The sequence below is a fragment of the Homo sapiens genome, chromosome 1 (genome assembly GCF_000001405.40).
Source record: "Homo sapiens chromosome 1, GRCh38.p14 Primary Assembly".
NCBI classification, from domain to species: Eukaryota; Metazoa; Chordata; class Mammalia; order Primates; family Hominidae; genus Homo; species Homo sapiens.
In genome coordinates, this window is record NC_000001.11 from 47486706 (window position 1) to 47512564 (window position 25859).

The window sequence follows — 25859 nt, forward strand, 5'->3', positions numbered from 1 at the left end:
CCCATGCACTGCAGCCTCCTCTCTCCCCACTTGCTCCCTGGATCTCTGTGCCCAGCTCTGGCTGGACCACCTGTAGTCCTGTGTTCCCTCCTACCTTCTACCTTATTTCCTTCTCTGCTGCCTCTGGGTCTCTGCACCTTTGGTTTTTTCTGTCTAAACTCCAATTCCTTCCTGCTTTTTCTTTTCCTTTTTAAAATCTCAAGTAGGTGCCACAAGTTTACTTAATTGCCCTCCTTCTTATGACAAGCCATTATTATCCTCATCTTTTCTGCAAGGCCCAGTCTTTCTTTGTTGTATTCTATGATTTTCCTGTCCCTTCATTTCCCATCCCCCCTTCTCTTTCCCTCTTCCTTATAGGCCCTCACTCTAAGATATTTGTTGTATGACCTTGGAAATGCACGTTTCTTTGAAAAATATATGGTGTTCTTTCCTTTATGCATGTTTTTCATTTACATAAATGGTATTTTGCTTTAGAGCACCTTCTGTTTCTAATTTTTTTCCACTTTACACATGTTTTTAAGATCAGTCCATATCATCATATGTCCCTGTGGAGTCTGGTTCATCACCTCTAACTGCATGTGTGCCGTGGGCATCCACTGCATTTCCTCAGCCACTCCCTGGTGCCGCCCAACTCCACATCACAAAGAGTATCCGAATGAACATTCTTGTATCTTTCTCCTCAGGGATCAGGGCATGAGTGTCTTTGTTGTGAGTGCGCACAGAGGGCTCATAGACATACCTGGATTTAATCTCCCTTAGTCCTGCCTGACTCTACCCCAGCAGTGCACAAGGGTTCAGGTTTCCCTAAGTCTTTGCCAGCATTTAGTATTATTCAACTCTTACGTTTATAGTCTGATGGGTGTAAAATGGTATCTCATTGTTTTAATTTGCATATCTGATTGCCAGGGAGGTTGAGTGTCACTTACATGCTTGTTTGCCCTTTTGGCTTCCTCTGTCCCTTTTTATGTGAGTTCAGGCCTGCTGGTCCTACAGGTCTTAGCACAGGTGCACCTCCCCTGGGAAGCCTTCCTTGAATGCCCTTTCTTGACTGTGTGTCCTGCTTCCTCTTTGTTCTGCTGATCCCCTGCACTCCCCATTGTGACAGAACACATCCTATCATGTTATAAAAATTGTCTGTCTTCCCCTCTAGACTATGAGGTTCTGAGAGGGGAGGTCACTGCCAGGTGTAATTCCTCTCCATGTCTCTGGAGTATGGGACAGGGCCTGGCCCAGTGAAAGTGGCCAGGGAATGTTTGAGGAGTGACTGACTGAGAATGAACATGAGGTGAGATAAATGAGGATAGATGATGACTCAGAATGAGTGTTGTGATTTTGAAGGGCCGAGGGGTCATGCTGGCATGGGGCAGGGTGAGCCAGGCAGAGGGCTGGGAGATTTATGACTGAAGAGAGCAAGGGAGAAAGCAGAGCATGAGACAGGAAAGCTAGATTCAGAGTCTATGGCTGAGCCACAGGCTTGAGTGAGACCTAGAGAGAGAGATTCCCCGCGACGTTGGGGCTTTCGTCTGCTATCTCTCGTTGGAGGAGCCAACCGTGAGGTGCCCAGCCTCGGCTGGGTGTGTAGATGTAACTCAGAGTGGAGAGAAGTGTGGCTGCCTCTGACACTCTGTGTTAGTGTTTTGATCACCAGTCCTGAGCTGTTGCCAATCTCTACTACTTCATTTAATCATGGTTCTTGCTTCCTCTTGCCCCCTGCCCTAAACCTGAGTCCAAGATACATCTCCCTAACTCACTCGTAGCCTTTATATTGGAGCCAAAAGCTGATGGGGCTGCTGGCATGGCCTTGAGCTTCAGACCAGTCTAGCATCAAAAGCCCTTGCAGTCACTAGCAGCTGCCTCTGCGGTTGCCTCAGCTGGAGGATTCTCTCCATGGCAGCCCACTACCCCAGCCTGTGGCTGAGGTCATTCTCCACCAGAGTCGGCTCCTTTCTCTTCAGCTCCCTTCTTTTCCTTCTACGTGGTTTGGCAGAGGCTGAAAGGCAGAAGATTATAGGCATGCAGTACAACCCCACAAGCCAGCGTGAAACCCCAGGGTTGTCTTTTTCCACCCTCTGCCTCTACTTAGTTTTTCCTTTCTCTGAGGAACTGGGTTCCCAACATCTCCTTCTTCCCCAGGATCAATCAGTTGGCAGGGTGTTGTGGGAAAGAAATTTGCATTCAATCATGCCCACGGCAACCATCCTAAGCAGGGCTTGTGTTTCTGTCCTCAAGCCCAGACGCCATTCTGTTTAAAAGGCTTGGGGTTTACAGAGCTAAGTGGACTAGAACATAACTTTTAATAGCACATTTGAACAGAATTTAATGAGGTTTTAAAACAGAACTATAAAGTAGTTTTTCTGCAAGGACTATTATTAATCATAAGAATAATCATAGCAATCTGTCTCATCTGCCCAGCATGTTCCAGTATTTAAAACATTTTCACATTGGTCATCTCATTTGACACTCATAACTCTCCTGGGAGGTCAAGAGGGCTGGCGTTACCATCTTCATTACACAGTTTAGAACTGTGTTTCTCAAGTGTTCATGGGCGTATCAATCACCTGGGGATCTTGTTAGGCTGAAGATCCTGATTCAGTGGGTCTGGGGTTGACCTGAAATTCTGCATTTCTAAGGAGATCCCAGATGAAGCTGATGTTGTAGATCCATGGATGACACTTAACAAGAATGAGTAGCTCAGAATACTCAAGCTCAGAAAGGTTAAGTGACATCTAAGTATTCATAGAAAAATGGTGTTGGTGCCAGAATTTCTTCCTTTTTTTTCTTTCCCTTTTTTCCTCTCTTATCTTTTTTCCTTTGACAAATACCAACCAAGTGCTTACTATGTGCTAGATGTGGTTCTAGGTAGAGGAATGAATGATATTAAAAATAATTAACAACAGGGTTAGGCACAAGTGCTAACTATGGCATTAACTGGGGCATTAATAGTTTAGAGATGGATGGGGGATGGTCTAGAGGTCTCAGGGAGAGGGTAGGTGGCCAAGCAGTTGGGAGATATCCAGTGGGGCCTCAGTAGCAAAGCCTCTCAATATTCCGTACCGTTTATATAATATCCATGGGCACATGGGGTGTGGAGAAGGATTGAGCAGAGCTCCTGGCCTTGACCAGTTCACAGTGCAGTGGGAGAAACAGACGTGGACTGAAGAGGCTGGCGGATCATTCTGGTAGTGTTTGTCAGCTCTGTAAGAGCCAGCAATTGCATTCATCTGTCTCCTTTGCTGCTGTATCTCCAGTGCTTGGGCAGTGCCTGGTGCATGGTGGACACTCCATACATGTTTTTTTCAAGGAATCAATCACTGAACAGGGCACAAGGGGCCCAAAAAACGGAGTCATTGGCAGGTCAGTTCTGTCTGGGGTGCAATGAGGTAGGGTGGGGAGGAGCTGTCAAGGAAGGCTTTCCAAGGGAGATGATGCTGGAGGCGAGTCTTAAAGATCAGTGGGTGTTTGCCAGGCAGATGACCGGGGGAGTGGGCAGGTCTGAAGCAGGGGTCCTGCTTTATCCCACAGCTGCCTTAGTACAGGGAGCTGGCAATTGTCTCATGTATTTAGAATGCTGGGCCACTCCTCTCATGCTCTGCTCTTCTCTAAGGTGCTTGGGGCCATTTGGATGTGGCATCTGGGTTCTTCCAGCTCCCTAAGAAGTCTTCCCTTCAGGGAAAGAAGGGGCCTCTCCAGAGGATGACCCAGGCCTGCTTGCACACACTATGTTCAGAGTGGGCTCAGGCCCAGGAAGGGACCTCTCCAGTGTTGAATGTGAGGGCCTCAGAAATGAATCAGACAGAGCCTCCAGGAACTCCTTGTCAAGCCCTCCCAGATTTAGCCTCACAGGCCAATTGACTCTCCTGGCTGACAATGCCAGACACCTGTCTCCTCCATCCCCATCCCCACACTCTGACCCCACAATCTCTGCCCCCAGCTACTACTGCCTTCTCTTTCTCTCGGTTCCTACTTCAGTAGTTTGCTATGGCTTTTGAATTCCCATCTTACAGATGTGGAGACATAGGCTTTGAGAGAGGCAGTGTTTTGACAAAGGACATGGAGAGAACTAGAACTCGAACCCTGGACTCTGATTCTGGGTCCAGTGACCTGAGACACCAGGCATACTTTCACTCAATCAATTGATGAACAAGTATTTATTGACTGTCTACTGTGTGCCAGGATCTATTCTAGCCTTTGGGGATCCAGCAGTGAGCAACAGAGCCAGAATCTCTGTCCTTGTAGCGCTTTCTCTTTAATTGGGGGTTGGGGGTTAGGGGAGATGAACAACTAAAAATAAAAAGTAAAATATAGGATGGCAGACTATGAACACATTATGGAGGAAAATAAAGCTGGGAAGGGGTAGGAAGCACTGAGGGGTTGTGCTTGTAATTTTAGGGACTGCCTCCTTGGGAAGATGACTTTTGGATAAAGACTAGAAGCAGATGATGGAGCAAGCTTTACAGATATCTGCAGGAAGAATGTTCCAGGCAGAAAAAAAGAGCAAGTTCAAAAACCTAAGGTGGGAAATACAGAAGCCACCATATTTCCCAAGGGCTACGGCACTCCTTTTAATGCGATTTTGGTCATCAAAGCCACACAGGGACAAGATTCTTTTCTCATCTGTTCTCTGAATCTCCCACAGGACACCCAGCATGTGGCTTTGCTAAGCCAGGGCACTGGGAGTCCCTGCAGCTGCTGGAGTGGGTGGTGACAGCCAGAGAGGCCTGTGAGAGCCCACAGTGCTGGGATGCCCACTCTCCCATGGCCTCTCTGGGCCAGTGCCCAGCCAGCTGTCTGCAGCCCTGGGACATGTCTCTCGAGTCGCATAGTATTGAAAGGTTGATCTCCCCATTAGAAGGGATTTGTCAGCACGAGCTGGGGCTTAGCAGCCTAAGCCGTGGGTCTGAAGGCTCAGACAGGTTCAGGGCCCAGAGGAGCTGACTCAGGCCTGACTCCCCCGGGAATCAGGGAAAGGCCACCAGCTAAGACCGCCAGGGGTCAGAGTCAGGATGAATTGCTCGATGTCCCCAGGGGCACTGCCAAAGCCACTGTCATTCCCACTATTCTTCCTGGGGTCTAGGAGCAAGCTCCAGTGCCCTAGCCTGGCATGCAAAGCCGGGCAAAGCCCCATGGCTCATCTGGGAGCTCACCCTGCATGCTCTCTCTGGGACATTTCCTCTTTTCCTGTGGTGTTGGATACCATCTGTACACCAGCAGTCCCCAAACTTCCTCCAGACCGCCCTCCTGAGTCCACCTGACAGTTTACCTGATGTCTCCACTGGGATGACCCATAATCTTCTCCAACTGAATGCATCCAAAATGGGACTCCCATCCTCTCCACAAAGCCACCTGAGTCAGCCAAACATAGCTAACTTTCACCATTTCACTCTTCCTTGTGTGTCAACTCACTTCAGTACTTTCAACAGCCTTGTGGGTAAGGACCTGCTCCGCCCATTTACAGATGAGGAAACTGAGGAAGGGGAAATTACATCACGTAACACTTGCACTGTCCTGGCTCACTGAGTCAGTAAACTTGGAATCCGCCTGAAACAACTGCACCTCCATCCTTCCTCCCTGCCATGACTCCACCCCGGCTGCTGTCACTGTTCCTTCAAATGACTCTGACAGTTGCCTAGTAGGTCTCCACTTTTGTTCCCTCTAGCCCATTCTCTCCCAGAGCAAATCAAGTGACTGTTAAAAAAAAGTACAGAGCTGATTTTGTCACTTCTCTTGGTTCTTAGGCTAAAACCCAAACTCCTTAACATGCTCTGCCAGTCCCCGTGCAGCATGGCTCCTGGGTCTGCCTTCCTGGCTTGTCTTCTGTGTCCTCTGTGTCCCTGGTCCTGTGTCACTCAGCACACGCCAACCCCACTGTCTTTCTTTCAGTTCCTCGACTGTGACAAGCTCTTCCCAACCTCAGGGCCCTGTTATGCGCTGCGTCTTCTCCTTGGGATACTCCTCCATTGCCTAGTTTATCATCATTCTTCAGGTTTCAGTTTAAATGCCACTTCCTCAGGGGAGCCTTCTTTGACTTCTTTTCAGGTGTCACCCTCTCTCATGGCTCTCCTACTGCTCCCGAACTTAATGTTGACAAAAAATAGCCAAACTGCAATTAATGAGTTCTTTGCCCCTTACTTGTTAGACCCATGGCTTCCCTGCTGGGTCATAAGGCCCATGAGGGCAGAGACTAAGTCTGTGTGGCCCAGAGCTGTATCCCTAGCATAGCATCTGACACATAGTGGGTGCCCCGTAAGGGCTGGTGAATGAGCAAATCACCTTCTCAGCCTTTCTTTTCATCTGGTCCCTATTGTTCTCCTAAACTGCTTTCCTTATTTCCCTTGACACAGCTGTGCCCATTCCAGTCTCCTTGCCTTTGCTCGTGCTGTTCCTACTGCCTGATGTCCTGCCACCTCTCTCCACTCACCCACAACCTACCAGTCCTTCAAGATAACTCTATGGCCTCTACTCCTCCAGGAGGCCTTCCCTCTGCACACTAACAGGTTAAGTGTCTCTCATTCTTCTCGTGGTCCTGTGCTATTTCTCCTCCAATATGGCCCCTGCAAGAATCCTTGACCTAAGCTCCATGCAGGCAGGGACCAAGCCTTCTTTTCAGTGCCCTCCCCAAAAGGGGTGAGCTCCGAGCTTGGGCACAAGAAGCAGCAAGTAAAGATGGTAATCTGCTGTTTCCACTTCTCTTGGTCTTTTAGGTTCCACTGGAAGGTGAACCTCTCCCTGCCTCACCTCCCCAACTAAGACCACCTGAGTGCACTTCTCATGCACTAGATTCCATGAACAGGCCTGACTGTGAGAAAGCAGAGGCAGTGGAAAAGCAAGGGTTTGGGAGTCACATAAATCTATACTAAACTCCTATTTCTATGAGGTTCAACCATAATGAAGTTGCCATTTCCATTAGGTTGAACTGTATGAAGTAGGCCAAAGATGATTGAATATCAAGTTTCATGTGGCTCAATTTAATATGTAATCTCAGGCAGTTGGTCTGATGTCTTTTAGACTTAGTTTCTTCATCTGTGAAATGGGAGGAGTAGAGCCTCATTTACGGAGTTGCAGAGAGGAGAAAATAAAGCTGTGTATCATTATGGGTCAAAGTTTGAGTTCTGGAGGCAAGGCTCAGTTTGAACCGTGGATCCCCCATCTTATCGGGGTTCCTAATTGCAAACAACAGAGTCCATTATGGCTAGTTTAAGCAGAACAAGGATTTATTACAGGATGTTGGGCAGCTTACAGAAATCCCTGGAGGGTCCTGGGAAAAAGGCCTGACCAAACCATGAGGACATTTTTAGTGAAAACACCACTGCCTGGTCACTCAGTCCCTATAGCATTTAGGGCTGGATACCAGAAGTTCCACCACTGCTGTTCCAAAGAACTGGATGCCTTTGCAACTGCCCTGGTCATAAGATCATTTGCCCCACCTGGCTGCCTCCTTCTTCTGAATCTAGGTTTCACCCAGGTGTGTCTGATTCATGGCACCTGGGTCATATGTCTGATCCTGAGCCACAAAGAGGTCTGGGGATGAGAATTTTCTGGCTTCTACCTGGAGAATGTTGGACTCAGAATGGAGAAAGGAAGGGCATTGAATGGCCACAACTATGTGCTATTTCTTTTTACTAGCTGTGTGATCATGGGTAAGTAACTTATCCTTTCTGAGCCTGAGTTTTCTAATAGGTAGTATCTATGTCACAGGATTTTGAGGATTAAATGCACGGATTTGTGAAACGCCTTTAGAAGAGAGCCTGGCATATAGCAAACCCTCAATAGATGCTAACTCTATTTTTATATTATTATTTAATATGGATTTGAGACCTCTTGGCACAAAGCCTAGCACGGAGAAGATGCTCTTTAAGTGTTTGTTGAATGAAAACCCTTGGCTGAGATATTAGTGTTCAGAATTCCTCTAGCTGGCCGAGAGCATCACAGACAGCTAGAACCAGTGGTGTGCTGCACCAGTGCGAGCCCATTGGTAACTTTTCAGAAATTTCACGAGCTAGTTAATATCATATTGGTAGCTTGAAATCTGCCTCTCTGGGGGAATTTACACTAGGGAAATTGGCAAACACTATAAATTGGGGCTCTCCTCTCCCTACAAATGGCAACTTTATCTGGTTAAACCTTTACCTGCACATCACAGGCTGATACAGGGTATGAAGTATATAAAGTGCCTAGCACCATGCCATCTCTTTTGGGCCCTTCAAATATGGTCCTTCTCTCTAGTTAGCAAATTCTTAGGATCAACTTTATTTTTCAGGTGTCAGGGAAAATAGATGAACCCCTGGATTCATGGACTTTTCATGGTTTCCTTGGTGGATACCTCTTTTGTATTGATGAATTTCCACCAGACAGGGAGTTCTTTTCAGAATAGGCACCAACACTGGGCACAAGGTCTAGCTAGCACTCAATAGTCCAGGAGGCATGGGTGGAATGGCTCCGTGGATGAGATTTCTGCAGCTGGAACCCTTTCCCTTCCCACACTGGTTGGCAACACTCTCTCCTTTCCTGGTGCCTCCTAGAGGGGCATCACCACTCCTGTTTTCCTTTTGCCATGTGGATCATATAAGAAGGGAGTGTGGTGGAGGCTGGGGAGTGAGAGGGGACGCTTGAATGTTGGGGGTTGGGGGGCTGCCTCCTGCATTAGAAACATTCCTTTGATTGCTCTGTGCAGCTCAGCAGGCTGCCTGGCTTAAGACGAAAAGAAGGGAGAGGCAAACACCCTTCATTTTAATTAAAGCCAACTTTACATTGTTATTCCATTTGCCTGTGTTGTTGCACGAGCTTACAATAAAGTTATATGGCACCCCCAGGGCAGCTTGAGCTGCGTGATAGAATGTGTCTAAGTTCAGCACTCCCCGACTATACTCAGCTTCTTTGCAGGGAGAACCACAGCCAGTCTCATGTCCTTTCTGGGGCTCTAAGCGATCACTCAGGCTCAGACCTGTGAGCAACACTTTTATTTATATTTCACGTTTCAAAAACGTTTATTTAGTACTTTCTATGTGCCCAGCAGTGAGCTAGGTGCTGAGTCTACCCCTGACACATTGCTGTGCTTCCAGGGTACACATGCTCCAGTCTCCAGGATCTGTCCCTGACCAATCTCCTGAGATGTGGAGCTCCATGTGATCACCCCCAACTCTCTCCTCAAATGCTTATTTTGGTCTTTCTTCTTTTGCTCTGTGGTGGCATCAGCGATTCAGCTAAGCAATCCATTATATTTAGCAATTCTCTAAGTTCTTTCACATCTGACATCTCTGATTCTCACCACACTCCCATCCAGATCCTGCCTGCTCTTCAAGCCTCAGTGCAAATACTGCCTCCTCACTGTAGCCTTTTCCGGCCACACCTTTCTCTAGTCCTCTTTGCTGCCTTTTTGTGGATTTCATCACAAATTTTAAAACTGATTTTATTTTATGTTTTAGAAACAGGGTGTCACTCTGTTGCCCCAGGCTGGAGTCCAGTGGTGCACTTATAGTTCACTGCAGTCTCGAACTCCTGGGCTCAAGCAGCCCTCCTGCCTCAGCCTCCTAAAGTGCTGAGATTATAGGTGTGAGCCACTGCGCCTGGCACCCCCTCCTTTTTTTTTTAAATTAAGGTATATTTTACATACCGTGAAATGTAGGGATCTTAAGTGTGGTTTGATGAACTTTGACAAATGTACACACCTATGTAACCATGACCTCAATCAAGCCAGGACATTTTCATCACCCAGTAAGTGCCCTCATTACCTTTCCCAATCAATTCTACCCTCCAGATGCAAACACTGTTCTGACTTCTAACACTAGAGATTAGTTTTTTTTTTTTTTTTAAGATGGAGTCTCACTCTGTCAGCCAGGCTGGAGTGCAGTGGTGCGATCTCAGCTCACTGCAACCCCCACCTCTGGGGTTCAAGCGATTCTCCTGCCTCAGCCTCCCCAGTAGCTGGGATTACAGGCACCCACCATCACCCCCGGCTAATTTCTGTATTTTTAGTAGGGACGTGGTTTCACTATGTTGGCCAGGCTGGTCTCAAACTCCTGACCTCAGGTGATCTGCCCACCTTGGCCTCCCAAAGTGCTGAGATTACATGGATGAGCCACCACGCCCGGCTGAGATTAGTTTTTGCTTGTCAAACTCTTGTGTCTGGCTTCTTTTGCTTAATGTTTTTGAGCTTCATCCATGTTATTGGTAGATTAGTGGGTAGTTCTTTGTGACAGCTGAATTGTATCGCATTTAATGGATATACCACATTTTGTTTATTCATTTATTTGGGTTATGCACAGTTTTGGACTATTATGAATAAGGCTGCTATAAACATTTCTTATACAAGAGAAATGGACATATGTCTTTATTTCTTGGGTAAATACTCAGCAGTGGAATTGCTGGGTTGAGTAGATGTATTTTTAACTTTATATAAAATTACCAAAGAGGTTGTATCATTTTACACTCCCACCAGCAATATATGAGCATTTTTTTCCTTCCTTCCTTCCCTCCCTCCCTCCTTTCCTCCTTCCTTCCTTCCTTCCTTCTTCCCTTCCTTTTTTTTTTTTTTTTTTTTTGACAGTTTCACTCTGCTGTCCAGGCTGTAGTGCAGTGGCACAATCACAGCTCACTGAAGTCTCAAACTCCTGACTTTAGGTGATCCTCTCACCTCAGCCTCCCAAGTAGTTGGAATTACAGGAGTGCATCACCATGCTTGGCTGGTTTAAATTTTGTTTGTTTGTTTGTTTTTGGAGAGATGGGGTCCCACCATGTTACCCAGGTTAGTCTTCAACTCCTGGGCACAAGCGATCCTCCTGCCTTAGCCTCCCAGAGTGTTGAGATTATAGGCATGAGCCACTGTTCCTGGCCTATATGAGCATTATGAGCATTTTGATTGCTTCACATCCTTGCCAACATTTGCTGTTGTCAGCCTTTTATCATTTCAGCTATTCTAGTGGGTGTGTAGTTACATCTCTTTGTCATTTTAACTTGAATTTACAGATGATTAATGACGTTGAGTACTTTTTAATGCACTCACTGGCTATTTGTATATCTTTTGTGAAGTGATTATTCAAGTGTTTGCCCAGTTTTTATTGGATTGTCATTTTATTATGAATTCCTTACATATTCTAAATATAATATGTAATATAAGGTGGCCATATTGATTTTCTTTTATCTTTTTTTTCTTTTTTTACAGTCCAGAGGTCTCTTATTTTTAACACCTGTTATGCCATACATTCATAGGGAAGAGGTTCCAGCAGCTCCGGTTCCTTTTCATTGGTTCTCACAAAGTGTGCTTCCCTGGGTGGAGCAGGCTGGTGCTTCTGCTAAACCCAGGTACCTTTCTCTTTGGTTCCTTCTTTTCCTGATCATTTTCCTTCACACATTTCAGGAAGCTATTTTGGCTCTTAGAGTGCTCAATATGCACATTAATTCTCTTGGCAAGAATCTTGCCCAATAAGTTAACTAACTAATGCTGAGTGACACTGTAGACTCTTCCAGTTTGCCATGGTTAACATTTGTGAGGTATTGCTTTTTGAACAGTGCCCATTTCCTTGATGTCTACAATATTGCCTTTCTTACAGATTCACGTGTATTCAAAGGAACAACTCCATGTTTCCTAAAAGGCCTAGAGAATATGTATCAGGTGCCTCTCCTCTTTCCCTTTATGTTGTTTTGGTGAATTACTGGAAGATGGAGGTTAAGGCCGAGAGGCTTAATCATATTTTTTGATGAATAAAAGTTTAAAATTTGATCAGGTCTGATTTAATAATTTCTTATCTTATGGCTAGTGATTTTCTTGTGTCCTAAGAAATTTTTGCCTAGTCCAAAATCACAAATATATTCCCCCATGTTTTCTTCTAGAAGTTTTATAGTTTTCACTTTTAAGTTTAGGTCTAGAATCAATTTTGAATAATTAATTTTTGGTATGGGGTTGAGGTAGTAGTTGAGGTTCAGTTTCCCCCATATAGTTATCTAGTTGTTCTAGTACTATTTTTTGAAGGGACTTTCTTTTCCCTATTAAATTGACTTGGTCAAAAATCAGTTGATATGTGTGGATCTATTTTGGACTCTGTTCTGTTGACCTGTTTGTCTACGCTTATGCCGGTTCCAACTTTTTGATTATTGTAGCTTTATGGTAACTCTTGAAATCAAGCAGTCTTAAGTTCCTGATCTTAGGGAAAAAAGAGCTTAATATTTCGTTATTGTCATGTTAGTTGTATGTTTTTCACATTAAAAAATCAGATTGAGAAAGTCCTCTTCTATTTTTAGATTGCTGAGAATTTGGATTGTAGAGGGGTATTGAACTTCATCAAATTATTTTTCAGCCCATATTGAGATGATCATTTGATTTTTCTCCTTCATTGTATTAATTTGGAAAATTGTACAAGCCACCTGTATTCTTGAGATAAGCCCCACTTGGTCATTCTATCTGTCTGTCTATCTATCTATCTATCTATCTATCTATCTATCTATCTATCTATCTATGTATTGATCTATTATATATCATATATAAATATATGTAACCAAATTTGATTTGACAGTACTTTTAAAAAGATTTTTGTGTTTATGTTTTTGAGGGGTATTGGTGTATAATTTTCTTTCTTATAATAATTAGGCCTGGTTTTGGTTATTAGAATTACACTAATCTCATATAATAAATTGGAAAGTGCCCCCTCCGCCTATATTTTCTGAAAGAGTTTATGTAAGTTTTGTATTATTTATTCATTAAATGTTTGAAAGAATTCACTATTGCAAACACCTGGAGTTTTATTTGTGGGAATTAAAAAAATTATGAATGCAATTTCTTTAAAGACATAGGGCTAATTCAGATTTTCTATTTCTTCTTGTGTCAGTATTGGCAATTTGTGTCTTTCAAAAAATGTGTTCATTGCACCTAAGTTGTTGAATTAACTAGCATAAAATTGTACGTAATATTCTATCACTTTAATGTCTGTAGTGATGTCTTTTCTTTTATTTCTGATGTTGGCAATTTGTGTCTTCTCTTTTTTTTTCCTTGATCAGTCTAGCTAGAGGCATATCAATTTTATTAATCTCATCAGAGAATCAGTTTTGGTTTAATTGGTTTTCTTTATTATTTATTTTCTATTTCAGTAAGTTTTACTCATCGTCAACATTTGTTTCCCCTTCTTTACTCCTCTTTTTTTATATTCTTAAAATGGCAATTTAGATCATGGATTTTAAATTATTCTTATCTTTTAATATAAACATTTAAAGTTTAAAAATTTCCTATACAAATAACTTTAGCTACATTCCACAAATTTTTGTTGTTTTTTTTTCATTATAATTCAATGCTCATGTCCTTACTCCATTCATGTCTGTGGTCAACCATCAGTTTCTTAGAGTCTTTCCCTTATCAGTTCATATAGAATAGCCCCTTTACCCTTACCAGCCTTACTTACTTTACTCTGTCTTATTTTTTATTCTGCCTTATTTTTTATAGCACCTAATACTTATTTATTATAATAAATACCTAATATTTATTATATTTGTATAACAACTTTACTCTGCTTTTTTATAACACCTTATATCACTATAATGTATTTATATATCACATTATACATATATAATATATATGATATGAGATTATGGCATGTAATAATTTATTTGTTCTTCTTTTTATTATCTGTCTTCTCCACTAAGCTCCTTGAAGGCAGGGACTATTTATTTTGTTTGGTGATGTATCTCAGTACTTTAGAAGAGCCCCATAAATATTTGTCGAATGAAGAAATAGAAAAATTATTTGACACCTTGTGCGAATAATCCCTTCTCAGAAACCTTACCTGGCAGTTTCCTTTAATTCTCAGAGAAGTTCACCTCACTTGTTTATACTCTTTTTGTACTTGCTTATACTTTATCATTGACTACAACTGGATCATTATTGTCTGTTTCTGTCTCCCCCAATGACCACCTGCCCAAGGACAAGGACTATGTCTTTATTCACCAGTGCTCAATACAGAGCCTGGCACAGAAGAGACTAGCAAATGTGTGACAAATGAATAAATGAAGTGTCATCAATCACTCCTGCCTTGCAAATCATCTGTGAACTAGACTTGGCTGTTAGACCAGAAGGCCTTCCCGTAAATCTGGAAGACATGAACTAGCAAAAGCTTTTAAGTTTATAAGATAGTGTTGTTTGTCTGTGATTTGGGCAATGAAACAAGTCTGCACCATGCTTTTCAGTTTATAAAGCTCTTTCCTATACATTATCACATTGGACCTTCACAACATACATGGGAAGAAGGCATTATTATCCTCATTTTTTGGATGAGGAAGCACAAGCTTAGAAAGGTGAAACCATGTAGCCAGGAACTGGAGAATTTGAGACTGGATCCAAGGTTTCTGAAATCTCCAGTCTCTTCCCAGCCAATGGAAGGAAGCATGTGCTTGACCTGGGGGCAAGATGAGTTCCAAGGCCTCATGGCCAGGTGTTATAAGGTTTGGCATCCAGTAAGCTGATGGGCCCATCAGGGGTGAAGGTGCTTGCGTAGCTGAAGTACACACTGAACTTGGGTTTCGTTGCTTTGATCCATAGACACAGCCTTATGTAGGGAAAAGAGCTCTTGGATTTTATTATTTATTTATTTATGTATTTATTTATTTATTTATTTATTTATTTTTGAGACAAGGCCTGGCTCTGTCACCCTGGCTGGAGTGCAGTGGTGCGATCTCAGCTGCTGCAACCTCCACCTCCTGGGCTCAGGCCATCCTCCCATGCCAGCCTCCCGAGTAGCTGGGACTACAGGCATGCACCACTTATTGGATTTTAAAACTGACGTCTCTCTATTATTAGTTAAGAACCTTGGACAAATGACTTCTCTCTGAGCCTTGGTTTTCACATCTCTAGAATGGAGCTTAAATACCCACCACCTAGAGTTGCTGTGAGAGTGACAGGAGAGATTCACGTAAGTGGATTTTGTAGGGACTCTTATAAAGTAGCTCCTCTGCCTTAGATAATTTTCACTGGTCCCTAAAATGCCCTTGTATTCATAGTATTCTCCCTGGCGGTTTATTTCTCATTGATATTGGACACCAGAACAAGGGAAGGGTGGCACAGCTCGATGGCGAATCTGTAAACTGTCATTGTTCCATCATATCTGAGCTCCCAGCAGTTAAGCAATGGCTCTGGCCCCATGCTGACTGCCTGGGGATGAGGTCAGTGGGTAACAAACCACAGCACTTACTGACCACTGATCATAATGACAGCTATCATTTACCGACTGCTATTTATTATTTATTCTGCTCAGAGAAAGGATCTGAGCCCAAATTCCCTGGCTAGGTCCTAAAGGTCCTTCTTCCAGATCATCTCAGTTGTCTTTCCTCTAATCTTTGGGAAGCTAGATCCTGCTCCCTGTACTTCATCTCTGGCTGTGGTCCTATTTCAGCTCAAACCCTCCTCTGGGTCCCTTCCTCTAATATCAGTAGCAGCATAGATGGAATATGGCATGATTTGATTCCAACTAACCTTACCATCTGCCTTTCCTGCCACTTCGAGTCTACAGCCTACACATTGGTCTGTTACTGCCTTTCCTGGAACTTGGCCAACACCATCCTTCCTCTAGGTTTCTGCCTATGCTGTTCCTTTTGCCTGGAACATCCTTCACCAAATCTCTACTGGCTCTTGACGACAGGTCTCTGCCCAGCTTGATGATTTTGCCAAGACCACTTAAACCTGTTAAAATCTGACCTATTTTGCTTAGATGGACCATGAGTCCTGTAAACTCCAGTGCATCTAGGATAAGGATGCCAAATTCAGCAAAAAAAAAAAAAAAAATAATAATAATAATAATAATTAATAAATACATACAGGGCTTCCAGTCAAATTTGAATTTCAGATAAATAACAAATTGTTTTAATATAAGTATGTCTGTACAATATTTGGGGCATACTTATGCTGAAAATGATTTGTAATTTATCTAAAATTCAAATTTAACTAGGCATCCTGTGTTTTATGTGGCAACCCTAATCCATGGGTGTGTAAGTGTATCATAGCTCTGCAGCCTCCTGAGAGGGGTGATGCTTTTGTTATGATTTAGACTGGGAGAGGGCATTGGGGGTCTGGAAATGGAGTTGGCCTGAGAGCCTGTCTAGTCTAGGGCCCCCATTTCACAGACCAGAGAATGAAAGAATGTGCCCAAGTTCACACAGCAGTGGGAGCAGCAAAGGGGAGGCTGGAACTCGGGGCCCCAGATTCCCAGGCCCCCTCCTGTGCCAGCAACTCTCTGCTCTGGGCTGATGGAACAGCTCAGGTTCCCACTCCCCTGCCCCTGACCTGCCCTTCGCTGGCTTCAGAGGGGGGGTCTGATGACGAAATGTGATCCTGCCATAAAATCTATACCAAACCAACTCTTCTCACAGCCCACCCGCCCGCCTCAAAGGGGGGCGCCTAATCCCCATTTATGGAGCCAAGCAGCTGGGCCCGGCCTGAGTCTTTGAACGTGAGCTTGGGGTACCCTGGGTCAGCCCAGTCTTGGCAAGAGGAACCTGAGAGTGAGGGTATTTAGGGAAGCTGAGCAAGCTGAGGGGCCAGCCGGTCCCACGCCACCCAGCCCAAAGAGCACCAGTTAGGGTGAGAGCATAAATCAGAGTGGCTGAAGGCAGAGTGTCCCCGTGGACACATCTTTCAGGGTGTGTTCCTGAAGACTGGACTTTATTCCAGCAGCCGAGGAGAGACACTGGAGGTTTAAAACAGAGGGGAACATGGTCCTATTAGAAAGATGGATTGGAGACCCCTTAGTGAGATAACTCTGGAAGTTATTTGGGCAGAATGATTAAGTTCTGACTCAGAATGGTGGTGGGATGGAGAGAAGTGGAGAGAGAGCGGAGAGGTGTCAGGAGGTAGTGTCTGGACAGCTCGGGCTCTAAGGAGTCATAGGGATGCCTGCTGTCTGGTTGGGGTGTTGTGGTGGGCAGAGGTGCTGCTACAGACAAGGAACATTAGGGAAGGTGCAGGAAGACGCTGACTGGCCTTTGAAGATGCTGAGAAGGAGGAGCCTGTGGGGCAGCCAGCAGGGATGCAGAGGAAGGTGAGAGCCTGGGGTCAAGGAAGAGAGTTGGGATGGAGATGCCGAGTTGGGCATTATCAGCCTATGGACCTTGAGACTACGATTACTGAGGGGAAAAGAGAAGAGAAGAGGGTCGAGGAGTGAGCCCTGGGGAACACCAACACTAAGAGCTAGGCAGAAACGGGAGGGCCCACAGAGGAGATTAAGAAGGCAGGCCATAGAGGAAGGAGGAAAACCAGGAGAAGATGAGGATGTGAGAGTCAAGGAACAGTGAGGGCTCTGAGAGCCCCGCAAGCCAAGCCAGGGAAACTCTTGCTGGGTTTAGCAGCAGGTAGGTGGCAGCCTTGCCACAGCGGGGTAGTGGGTCTCAGGGACAGTGCTGATGTGCAGAGGAATGGGAGGTGAAGATGTGTAGATACTCGGTGTAGATAACTCTTTTTTTTTTTTTTTTTTTTGAGACAGAGTCTCACTCTTGTTGCCCAGGCTGAAGCACAATGTCACAGTCTCGGCTCACTGCAACCTCCGCTTCCCGGGTTCAAGCAAGTCTCCTGTCTTAGCCTCCCAAGTAGCTGAGATTACAGGCATGCACCACCATGCCTGGCTAATTTTGTATTTTTAGTAGAGATGGGGTTTCACCATATTGGTCAGGTTGGTATCGAACTCCTGACCTCAAGTGATCCACCCGCCTTGGCCTCCCAAAGTGCTGGGATTACAGGAGTGAGCCACCACACCCAGCCTGAGTGTAGATGACTCTTTAAAGAAGACTGGTTGGGAGGAGATTTGGGGGGTGCAGTAGCTGAAAGAGAACTGGGCTTGAAGAACCGGTTGAGATTCTTTTTTTTATTTTTTATTTTTTTTACAATAAGGATTTGTCATTTATTTATTAGCTACAAGGAATTGCAAGATATTTAGCTTCTCTGAACTCAGCTTTCTGTTCTTTTTTTGTTGTTGTTGTTGCTTGCCTTTTCTTTTTATTATTATTATTATTATACTTTAAGTTTTAGGGTACATGTGCACAACGTGCAGGTTAGTTACATATGTATACATGAGCCATGTTGGTGTGCTGCACCCATTAACTCGTCATTTAGCATTAGGTATCTCTCCTAATGCTATCCCTCCCCCCTCCCCCCACCCCACAACAGTCCCCGGTGTGTGATGTTCCCCTTCCTGTGTCCATGTGTTCTCATTGTTCAATTCCCACCTATGAGTGAGAACATGCGGTGTTTGGTTTTTTGTCCTTGCGATAGTTTGCTGATAATGATGGTTTCCAGCTTCATCCATGTCCCTACAAAGGACATGAACTCATCATTTTTTATGGCTGCATAGTATTCCATGGTGTATATGTGCCACATTTTCTTAATCCAGTCTATCATTGTTGGACATTTGGGTTGAGAACCGGTTGAGATTCTTAAGGAGTTTACCCACTGATGGGAAGGAGGCAGTAGAAAAAGGGAGGTAGAACAACATCTTTCACACTTTCTTGACACAACCCACAGTTAGACAGACATGTCCTTCCAGACCTGAGACACTTACACACACTGACACAACTTAAACAAAAGTTTTGTGACATATACTCATCTTTACTGTGTGTGATGTGCTCTGATATTTTCTTTCCTATTTTACTTAAAAAAATTTTTTTTAAGAGATAGGATCTTGCTCTGTTGCCCAGGCTAGAGTGCAGTGGCATGATCATAGCTCACTGCAGCCTCGAACTCCTGGGCTCAAGTGTTCCTCTTGCCTCAGCCTCCCAAGTAGCTGTGACTACAGGTGCATGCCACTACCCCTGGCTAATTTTAAAATTTGTTTTGGAGAGACAGGATCTTGCTATATTGCCCAGTCTGGTCTCAAGCTCTTGGGCTCAAGTGATCCTCCTGCCTCGGGCTCCCAAAGTGTTGGAATTATAGACATGAGCCACCATGCCCCATCCTATTTTATTGTTAAATACTGCTGGTCACAGTACCCTGAACTGAATTTGTGAACCTAAAATGGTTCAAAATGGGCAGCTTGAGAAATTCCGAGGTAGAAGATATGGACAAAGAGGAGGTGAGTCAATGGGGTGAACTCTCCTGGGTGGATCCAGAGGGGAAGAGCTGGCTTCTTATGGGAGGAGAGATGCTTTCATTACAATAAAAGGGAAGGAGATGAGGTTTGGAGGAAGCACAGGTGAATGTGTAGGTTTGTGGCTGAAAGTTGATGGCTTTTGTTTTGTCCATGAAGGTCACCTGTTGAAAGGGCAGGGGAAGGAAGGGAAAGGTTGGAGGATCTGAAGAGAGAGAGGAAAATTTGAACCACCACTGTGGGAAGCATAAAGAGCTGGGAAACAGTTGCATTTCCTGGCAGTTTTGAGGCTCGAAGGAGGTGGGAAGCCATGAATTTAAAGTGATATGCATTTACCTGGGATATTAGTGAAGCTTAAGCAAGAGGGTCCCTTCTTTTTGGGTGGGGGACAGTTAAGGCCTGGTACAAAACAATGGCACAGGGATTATATGATAAGTGAATGAACGAGCAAATAGCTCAATGAACAAATTTATCAATTCAACCAATATTTATTGAGCACCTACTATATGCCAGGTTCTGTTTTAGGAGGGGAATACAGGGGTGACAATGGCAAAATTCTTGCCCCTTTGGAGGCAACATGTGCAATGGAGCTTTTGAACTTCATGAGGCTTTTCTGAGGATTATTTTTGTTTTGTTCTTATTTTTAAAGGTAGCCAACCCAGTCTAATGGAAAATTTGGAAGGATGTTCATCATCTTGCCGCGTCTCTGTTTGTGTTCTATTTCAGCCTAACATGAAGGGAGCATCATCTTCGTTTTCACCAGCTCAGAGGGCAAAGCATCTTGTCCTGGGTCACACAGCACATCTGCAGAGAAACTGGTAGGGGTTGGGACAGCAGTTTCCCACTTTCTGTGCTGAGCTATTCCTGCTCGCCATGTAACCAGTGTCTCCACAACTTCTGACTGTGGTAGGATAATGGGGTGGGAGGTATGGGTGCCTGGATTTCAGCTTTCTGGAGGGAAATCTTGACATGCTTTTATTTTCTTGTTTCTTTGGGGTGGAGCAAATAAAAGGCAGTCAGGGGGTCCATCAGGCCCATGGGTACTGGTTCCAGGCATAGCCTGTCAGTGGGAATATCTGGCCTCAATGAAAGGTAAGGGTGCATGCAGGACCTAGCTGCCCACTCTTATACCATGGACACCAGAGAAGGTGTGGGGAGTGGGGAGTCAGCATTTGTTAAAGTGTGTGTGAGCACAAGTGCATACACACAGACACACATCAACAGTGCAGATACTTGTGCAAACACAAATGTACAAGTCCTTATTCGGATTCACAAGTATGGATATATAGCCACATATACAGGTGCGCACACACACACACAAATACACTCATGTTCGTGCATAAATACCCAGGCACATGTGCACACGTCCAAACAGACATACACATTTTAAACATGCATAGGTGTAGGTTCATGTCTTTGGCCATATTCAAATGCACATACATTAAGTGTATACTCACATACAACAAAGAATCAATCTAAAAGTGCTCATTGAGAGGTGCACACCGTGTAGGCACTCACGTTTCCCCAGCCTCATTTCTGTCTCAGTGCCTTTGCCCACGATCACATCCTCTGTTGCCTATGATCACATCCTCTTTTGCCTCAGGGCCTTTGCATAGGCTGTTCTGCTCTTGAAATATCTTCCCCTGCTGCCTCATCTTTTAGTCACAGTGTATCTAGTCTTTCATCTGAGACCCTCTACTTCCCCTTTCATAACACTCAGCCTCTATTGTTTTACTTGTCTGTTTCTCTCTAGACTGTTAGCTGTCTGTGGGTCCACATAAAAGAGCCTTAATAAATAAGTATAGGTTGACTGAGTGAATGACTACCATGTATGGAGTACTTACTGTATGCCAGGATCTGGAGTAGGTGGGCTTAGCTGTTTTCTTTCTCTTATTGTCCCCTAAATTTTATGGAGGAGGAAACGGAAATATCGTCAGTGCCAGAGCTGGGATTTGAACCCAGGGTGGACTCTTTCTACTCCCAAATGTTTCTCTGATTTCCCTCTTGCCCTGGAGTCTACTGCAAGTCAAGTTCATCCCCTTCTTCAGAGTAGCTTTGCTCTGTCCCCCACCGGGGCCCCTCCCGCTCAGCGGGGCTGAGGGGCTGGGGGCCTCGAGTCTCAGCTGGACTGTGGCATCAGGCCGGGGCTGAGCTGGGCCTTCCCCTGTGGGAGCAGAAATGGACTCCTGGGAACAAGTTTGCAAGGGATGCGGCCGGGCGGGGTTGTTCAGAGGACTCTGAAGGGGACTGTCGCCAGGAGAAAGCTCTCTCTGAGCTCAGTGGAAGCGCCGCGGGCGTCCTTCGCCTGGCCGGTTCCGGCGCTCTTATCTGGCGGGAAAGCCAGCTCCTCTACCGTGTCCCCTGTGCGCCCGCGGTCCTCTGAGGACGCCCGCCCCGTACCAACCCGTCCTGGCTTCCACTCGGCCCCGGAGACAGGGCGGGCGGGTGGCACCTTCGGGCCCCGCGGGGCGCCCGCCGCGGCGTGGGGCGTGGAGAGGGTGGCGACAGAGCGCGGGCGGGGACAGCGCGTGGGCCGCGGGGGGCGGGGCGCGGTGGCGAAATGGCTTTTCCAGATTAGGGGCCCAGCCCGCACTGTTGACACAGTCATAAGTTTTAATGAGAAATTTTGAGTATTTGTGTGGGAGACGCAGCCTCTGTGCACAGATGCTGCGGGCGGGCGGCGCGGGGGGCCGTCCCTCCCTGGGGCCGCCGCGGCCGCAGGCCCGGCACGGATTCCTTTCAGGCAGAGGGGAAACATTTAAACTCGCTCACCTTTGAACTGCCAGGGACGCTGTTTACCTTGGCTGCCCGAGTGGCAGTTTTACAGATATTAAATACCGACCCGAGGCTGAGCCGGGGCTCCTTCGCTCCCCGCCCCCGCCGGGGGGCTGCGCTGGGCACGCCGAGGCCCGGGATGCCCGTTCCACCGGGGGTCATCTCAGTGAGGGTCCCGAGCCCCTTTCTGCAGATGGTTTCTGTAATCTGTGCTGGGGAGACGCCCTGGGGCTCTCCGTTCTCGTCCACTCCTCAGCCTATTCATCTCCTAATTCGATTTTCTATGTCAGGGCGGAGCAGTGTGGAGGCTGAGAGCTGTCTGGGCCCTGCTCACCCATTTTTTTTTTTTTTTTTGGCATTTCTGCATCTAGAAAGGGGATGTCATAAGCGAGGCACCTCCTAAGTAGGGGCTCCGGTGGCCTGGCTCTGTCTTTTCAAGGAACAGAGGAGACCTCTCTCTCCGAAGATGTCTATGGGACAGAGGAGGGCTCTGCCTGAGCCGCAGTCTTCAGCGGGCAGGCAGAGGGCTCCCTGCAGAGGCACAAGCCATGTTGATTTTACGGAGCAGGCTGCTATGCACATTTCACTCCTGATTTATTGGTTTTTAACTAGATCCTTATGCTGGGCTAAAAAAGCCATCTTGCACTTTGCAAGGCTCTGCTGACTGCTGCCGAAAATGACACACGGGGGCTCCTTCTGCCCTCCCCGCCCTCCCACCTCACCCCACCCAAAGGGCCATGGCGGAGGTGTGGGCAGGGAGCGTTGTTCTGAGGAGGAAGCCTCAGCCTGCAGCTTCCCTGCCCGCTGACCACCTGTGGTGTGTGCTGGGGTGACTGTGTTTGTGTGTATAAGAATTTATGGACCTGAAGGGAGGAGCTGGGAGAGGGGCAGGGCCTCTATTGAGCCTGGGCACATACTGCCCTCCTTTTCTCCCTCAGGCCCCACAGAGCACTTGTCATGTATTTTAATGAACTTTGGGGTCAGACAAATCTAGACTGACCCCCTGGTCACTCTCCTACTGTGTAATTCAGGAAAGTTAGGTAACCTCTCTGATCCCTGAATTGTCATCTTCGGAATGGGCATAATCTTATATATGATGTGGGGATCACATGAAATACTGTGTGAGTGTCATACACTAACCCAGTGCCCAGCACACAGACGGGGCTTACTGATGAGATTTGCTCCCAAATTCTTCCTCCCACCCTGGCTGGTCACTCCTGGTAAAGGAGAAACCCCTGAACACAGGCAGTGGCTGACTTCACACTGTCTCCTGGTTCTACATACAGTGCTTCATAATTCAAATAGAAAATTATATGCTAATATTACCATAAACTAAGTTATAAAGCACTTTTAACCCATTAGCTCATCAAATTCTCACAAAAGTTCTATGAGAGAAGAGACGGTAAAGAGAAGTAGCAAGGTCATTTTACCCAGAGAGATAAAGGGGTGTTATCACAGAACTGTGGTGGAAGCCAGGCTGGACAATTTCTAGTTTAGAGAACTTTTCTTGATGTCACAAATGCCTCTCATATTATTCAACATTGTTCCCTTTCTCAGGGAGGATGGTTTCATGAAGAGGAGGATCTTACGTAGAGGGATCTTAGGTACACAAATGGTGTACTTTCAGGCATGGGAGCAAAGCGGAGCTATTTTAGGGGATGGGGTACCAGGTGGACACCCACCTGTAGAAGAGGCTTCTTTGGCCAGCCCTGGAAGAACAACTAGGTCTGATTGAGACCCCCAGAACTCAAGGAGCCCAAGGAAGACGCTGGCTGCATCTGCAGAATTCATCAGGCGGCTTGATGGGTCGCCGTTAAACAAAGATGGGATAAGGTTACATGTGTTTTCCGTGGGAGTCGGCTCCGATTTCAGCCTGATGATTTAGTCAGGTGTAAGCATGAAGTTTCCAATTTAGAGAAATAAATCTCCAGTGATTTTATTATCCCCTGTTTTACCCTGACACCCAACTTCACCCCGGCCCCCTGTCAAAGCCCTCATGATGTGTTTATATAGGGCACACTGTAATTGATTGGCATGCAATAGAACATTACACAGAAAATGTGGCCTTCCCCACCAGGCCCAACTCTGGGAGCTTCCATATTTCATCATCCCCCGGGCCCAATCCAAGGCTTCCACTCCTGTGGCCACAAATTCTTGGGATTCTGGGTTGTCTGAGAACAGGAGCACAGGGCCAAAGGGTCCAGTCAGGGCCCCCAGAGCGGCCTCACAGGATGTTCTGGCCTGGAGATGGAGGGTGAAGGACATTGGGCAGAGGCATCTGCCATGGGTAGAGAGGCCGCTTGGGGTGGTTAGACTCATTACTTCCAAGGTCTTGTCTACTCAGAGTAGTTCAACCATCCATGATGGCTCTAAGTTTGGTTCTAATTCAAAAGTTCTAAATTTCTGAGGTGGTCAGTTTAGAAAATCTGTTATCAAGCATATATGAATCTGTGGCCCTAGATTTATGATTCTATGACAATGCCATGTAATACATGTAATACCATTGTATACTATTGTAATACTTCTAATAAATATGAATATAAACATGGCTTTGAATGCTGATATCAATGCTAAAACCAATGCCAGTTCCAATATTATCATTTATTGAGGGCTTTCAATGTGTTCAGCACTGCACTATGCATGTTACATAATTCTTTCATTTAATTCTGCCAACAACCCTATGAGGCATTATCTCCATTTTACACAAGATACCATTGAAGATCAGAGAGGGTAATAACTTGTTCAAGGCTACACAGTCGCTGTTTAAGAGTCGAGATTTTTAAATTCTTGCCTATAAAGCAGTGGAAAAAGTAGACAGATATGGGTGAGAAGCAGTCCTGACCTCATGGGTTGTGGTCGGAGTACACCCAATGATTTCTCACAGTATTAGCCCAGTTGTCATTGCCTCTATCCTCAGCCCCAGGAGGGGTATCAAGGTAGAGCGTCTCCAAGATTCTGGGTAGAGAACAAGGGCCCAGATTTCACCAAACCCAATTAATGGCGGGGGGGGGGGGGTTGCTTCTGATTCTTTTAGAATCCTACAGTTTCTGTGTCTGAAGGCAAAAGTCGTATACTTCAACCTCTCAACCAGGATCTGAATTCTTGCCTTCCCCAGTACCCTGATTGGGCAGGGGCTGATGGCTGGGCGGGGAGGCGGGCACTTTCTATTTCCACATCTCTAGTGACAGGGAGTTTCTACCTTATAATAAGCTGAAATCTGTCTCCCTGTCACTCTGACTTAATGATCCTAACTCTCTCCTGTAGGTCCACGAGCAAATCTACTTCCTCTGTTCTGTGACTTTGGAGATTTAGACACAGTAAATCAAATCTATCTACTCACTTATTCTGGCCCACCCTAACCCTTTCCCTCCCAACCATACCCCTCCCACCCATACTTTTATCCATCTATTCATCCTTCCCATCCATCCATCAATCCCTTCATCCATCTACTCTTCTATCATCCACTAATCATGTAACGATCCATCTCTCCATCACGCATCTAGTCATTCACTCACTATCCACTCATCAACCATCCATCCATCAATATATCCACCCTTCCCTCCTTTTTTCTATCCATCCATCCATCATCCATCCATGTAATTATTCAGTCACCCACTGTTTATCCATTCATTCATCCATTTACTCTTTCACCCACTTATTCACTTATTTATTAATTCATTGAGGTACAACCATTCAAATAGTACTTGTTAGGCACTCTGGGGAAGGAAACAAAGGTGAATATGCCCTCAGTAAACTTGGGAGAGAGAAATAAACCAGGCTCACACCTACAGAGCTTACTTATTCCTAAATGTCAACAATCTAGGAACTTTCTCAGTAATTTGTAAATCAGTGTCCAGTGAAAGGTTTAGGCTCTAAGTGCAATCAGGAGAGGGGGCCAGTGTGAGGTGGGCTGCTCAGGTTAGGCTTCCTTTGCATTATAGTCCTCATGGAACCAGCTGGTATCTTAAGACACAATCCTGTCTGGACCAGCATTGAAGTTTTGCACTGTGCTTAGTCTTGATTCCATTCATTCATTTG

General features: G+C 45.5%; 1 long non-coding RNA gene and 1 pseudogene across 2 annotated transcripts, besides 2 other annotated features; both read right to left on the reverse strand.

The window, feature by feature from the left end:
* On the reverse strand, positions 11157–11676 carry RPL21P24 (ribosomal protein L21 pseudogene 24; annotated as a pseudogene).
* Positions 16383–16553: a silencer, noted in NCBI's record as "fragment chr1:47968760-47968930 (GRCh37/hg19 assembly coordinates)". NCBI's record gives its function as "represses an EF-1alpha promoter that drives an FKBP-Casp9 reporter gene in an ReSE screen in HepG2 liver carcinoma cells {active_cell/tissue: HepG2}" and the evidence as "EXISTENCE:reporter gene assay evidence [ECO:0000049][PMID:32094911]".
* On the reverse strand, positions 19519–21162 carry LOC124904173 (uncharacterized). 2 transcript variants are annotated; one of them, XR_007066066.1, is made up of 2 exons: positions 20891–21162; positions 19519–19850 (listed from the first exon to the last, which is right to left on the reverse strand). It is a non-coding gene; the product is annotated as an uncharacterized LOC124904173 (long non-coding RNA). The 2 variants fall into 2 exon arrangements; XR_007066065.1 differs by having other exon boundaries at positions 19519–19861.
* Positions 21505–21784: a silencer, noted in NCBI's record as "silent region_859". NCBI's record gives its function as "represses an Ori minimal core promoter by ATAC-STARR-seq in GM12878 lymphoblastoid cells {active_cell/tissue: GM12878}" and the evidence as "EXISTENCE:reporter gene assay evidence [ECO:0000049][PMID:35858748]".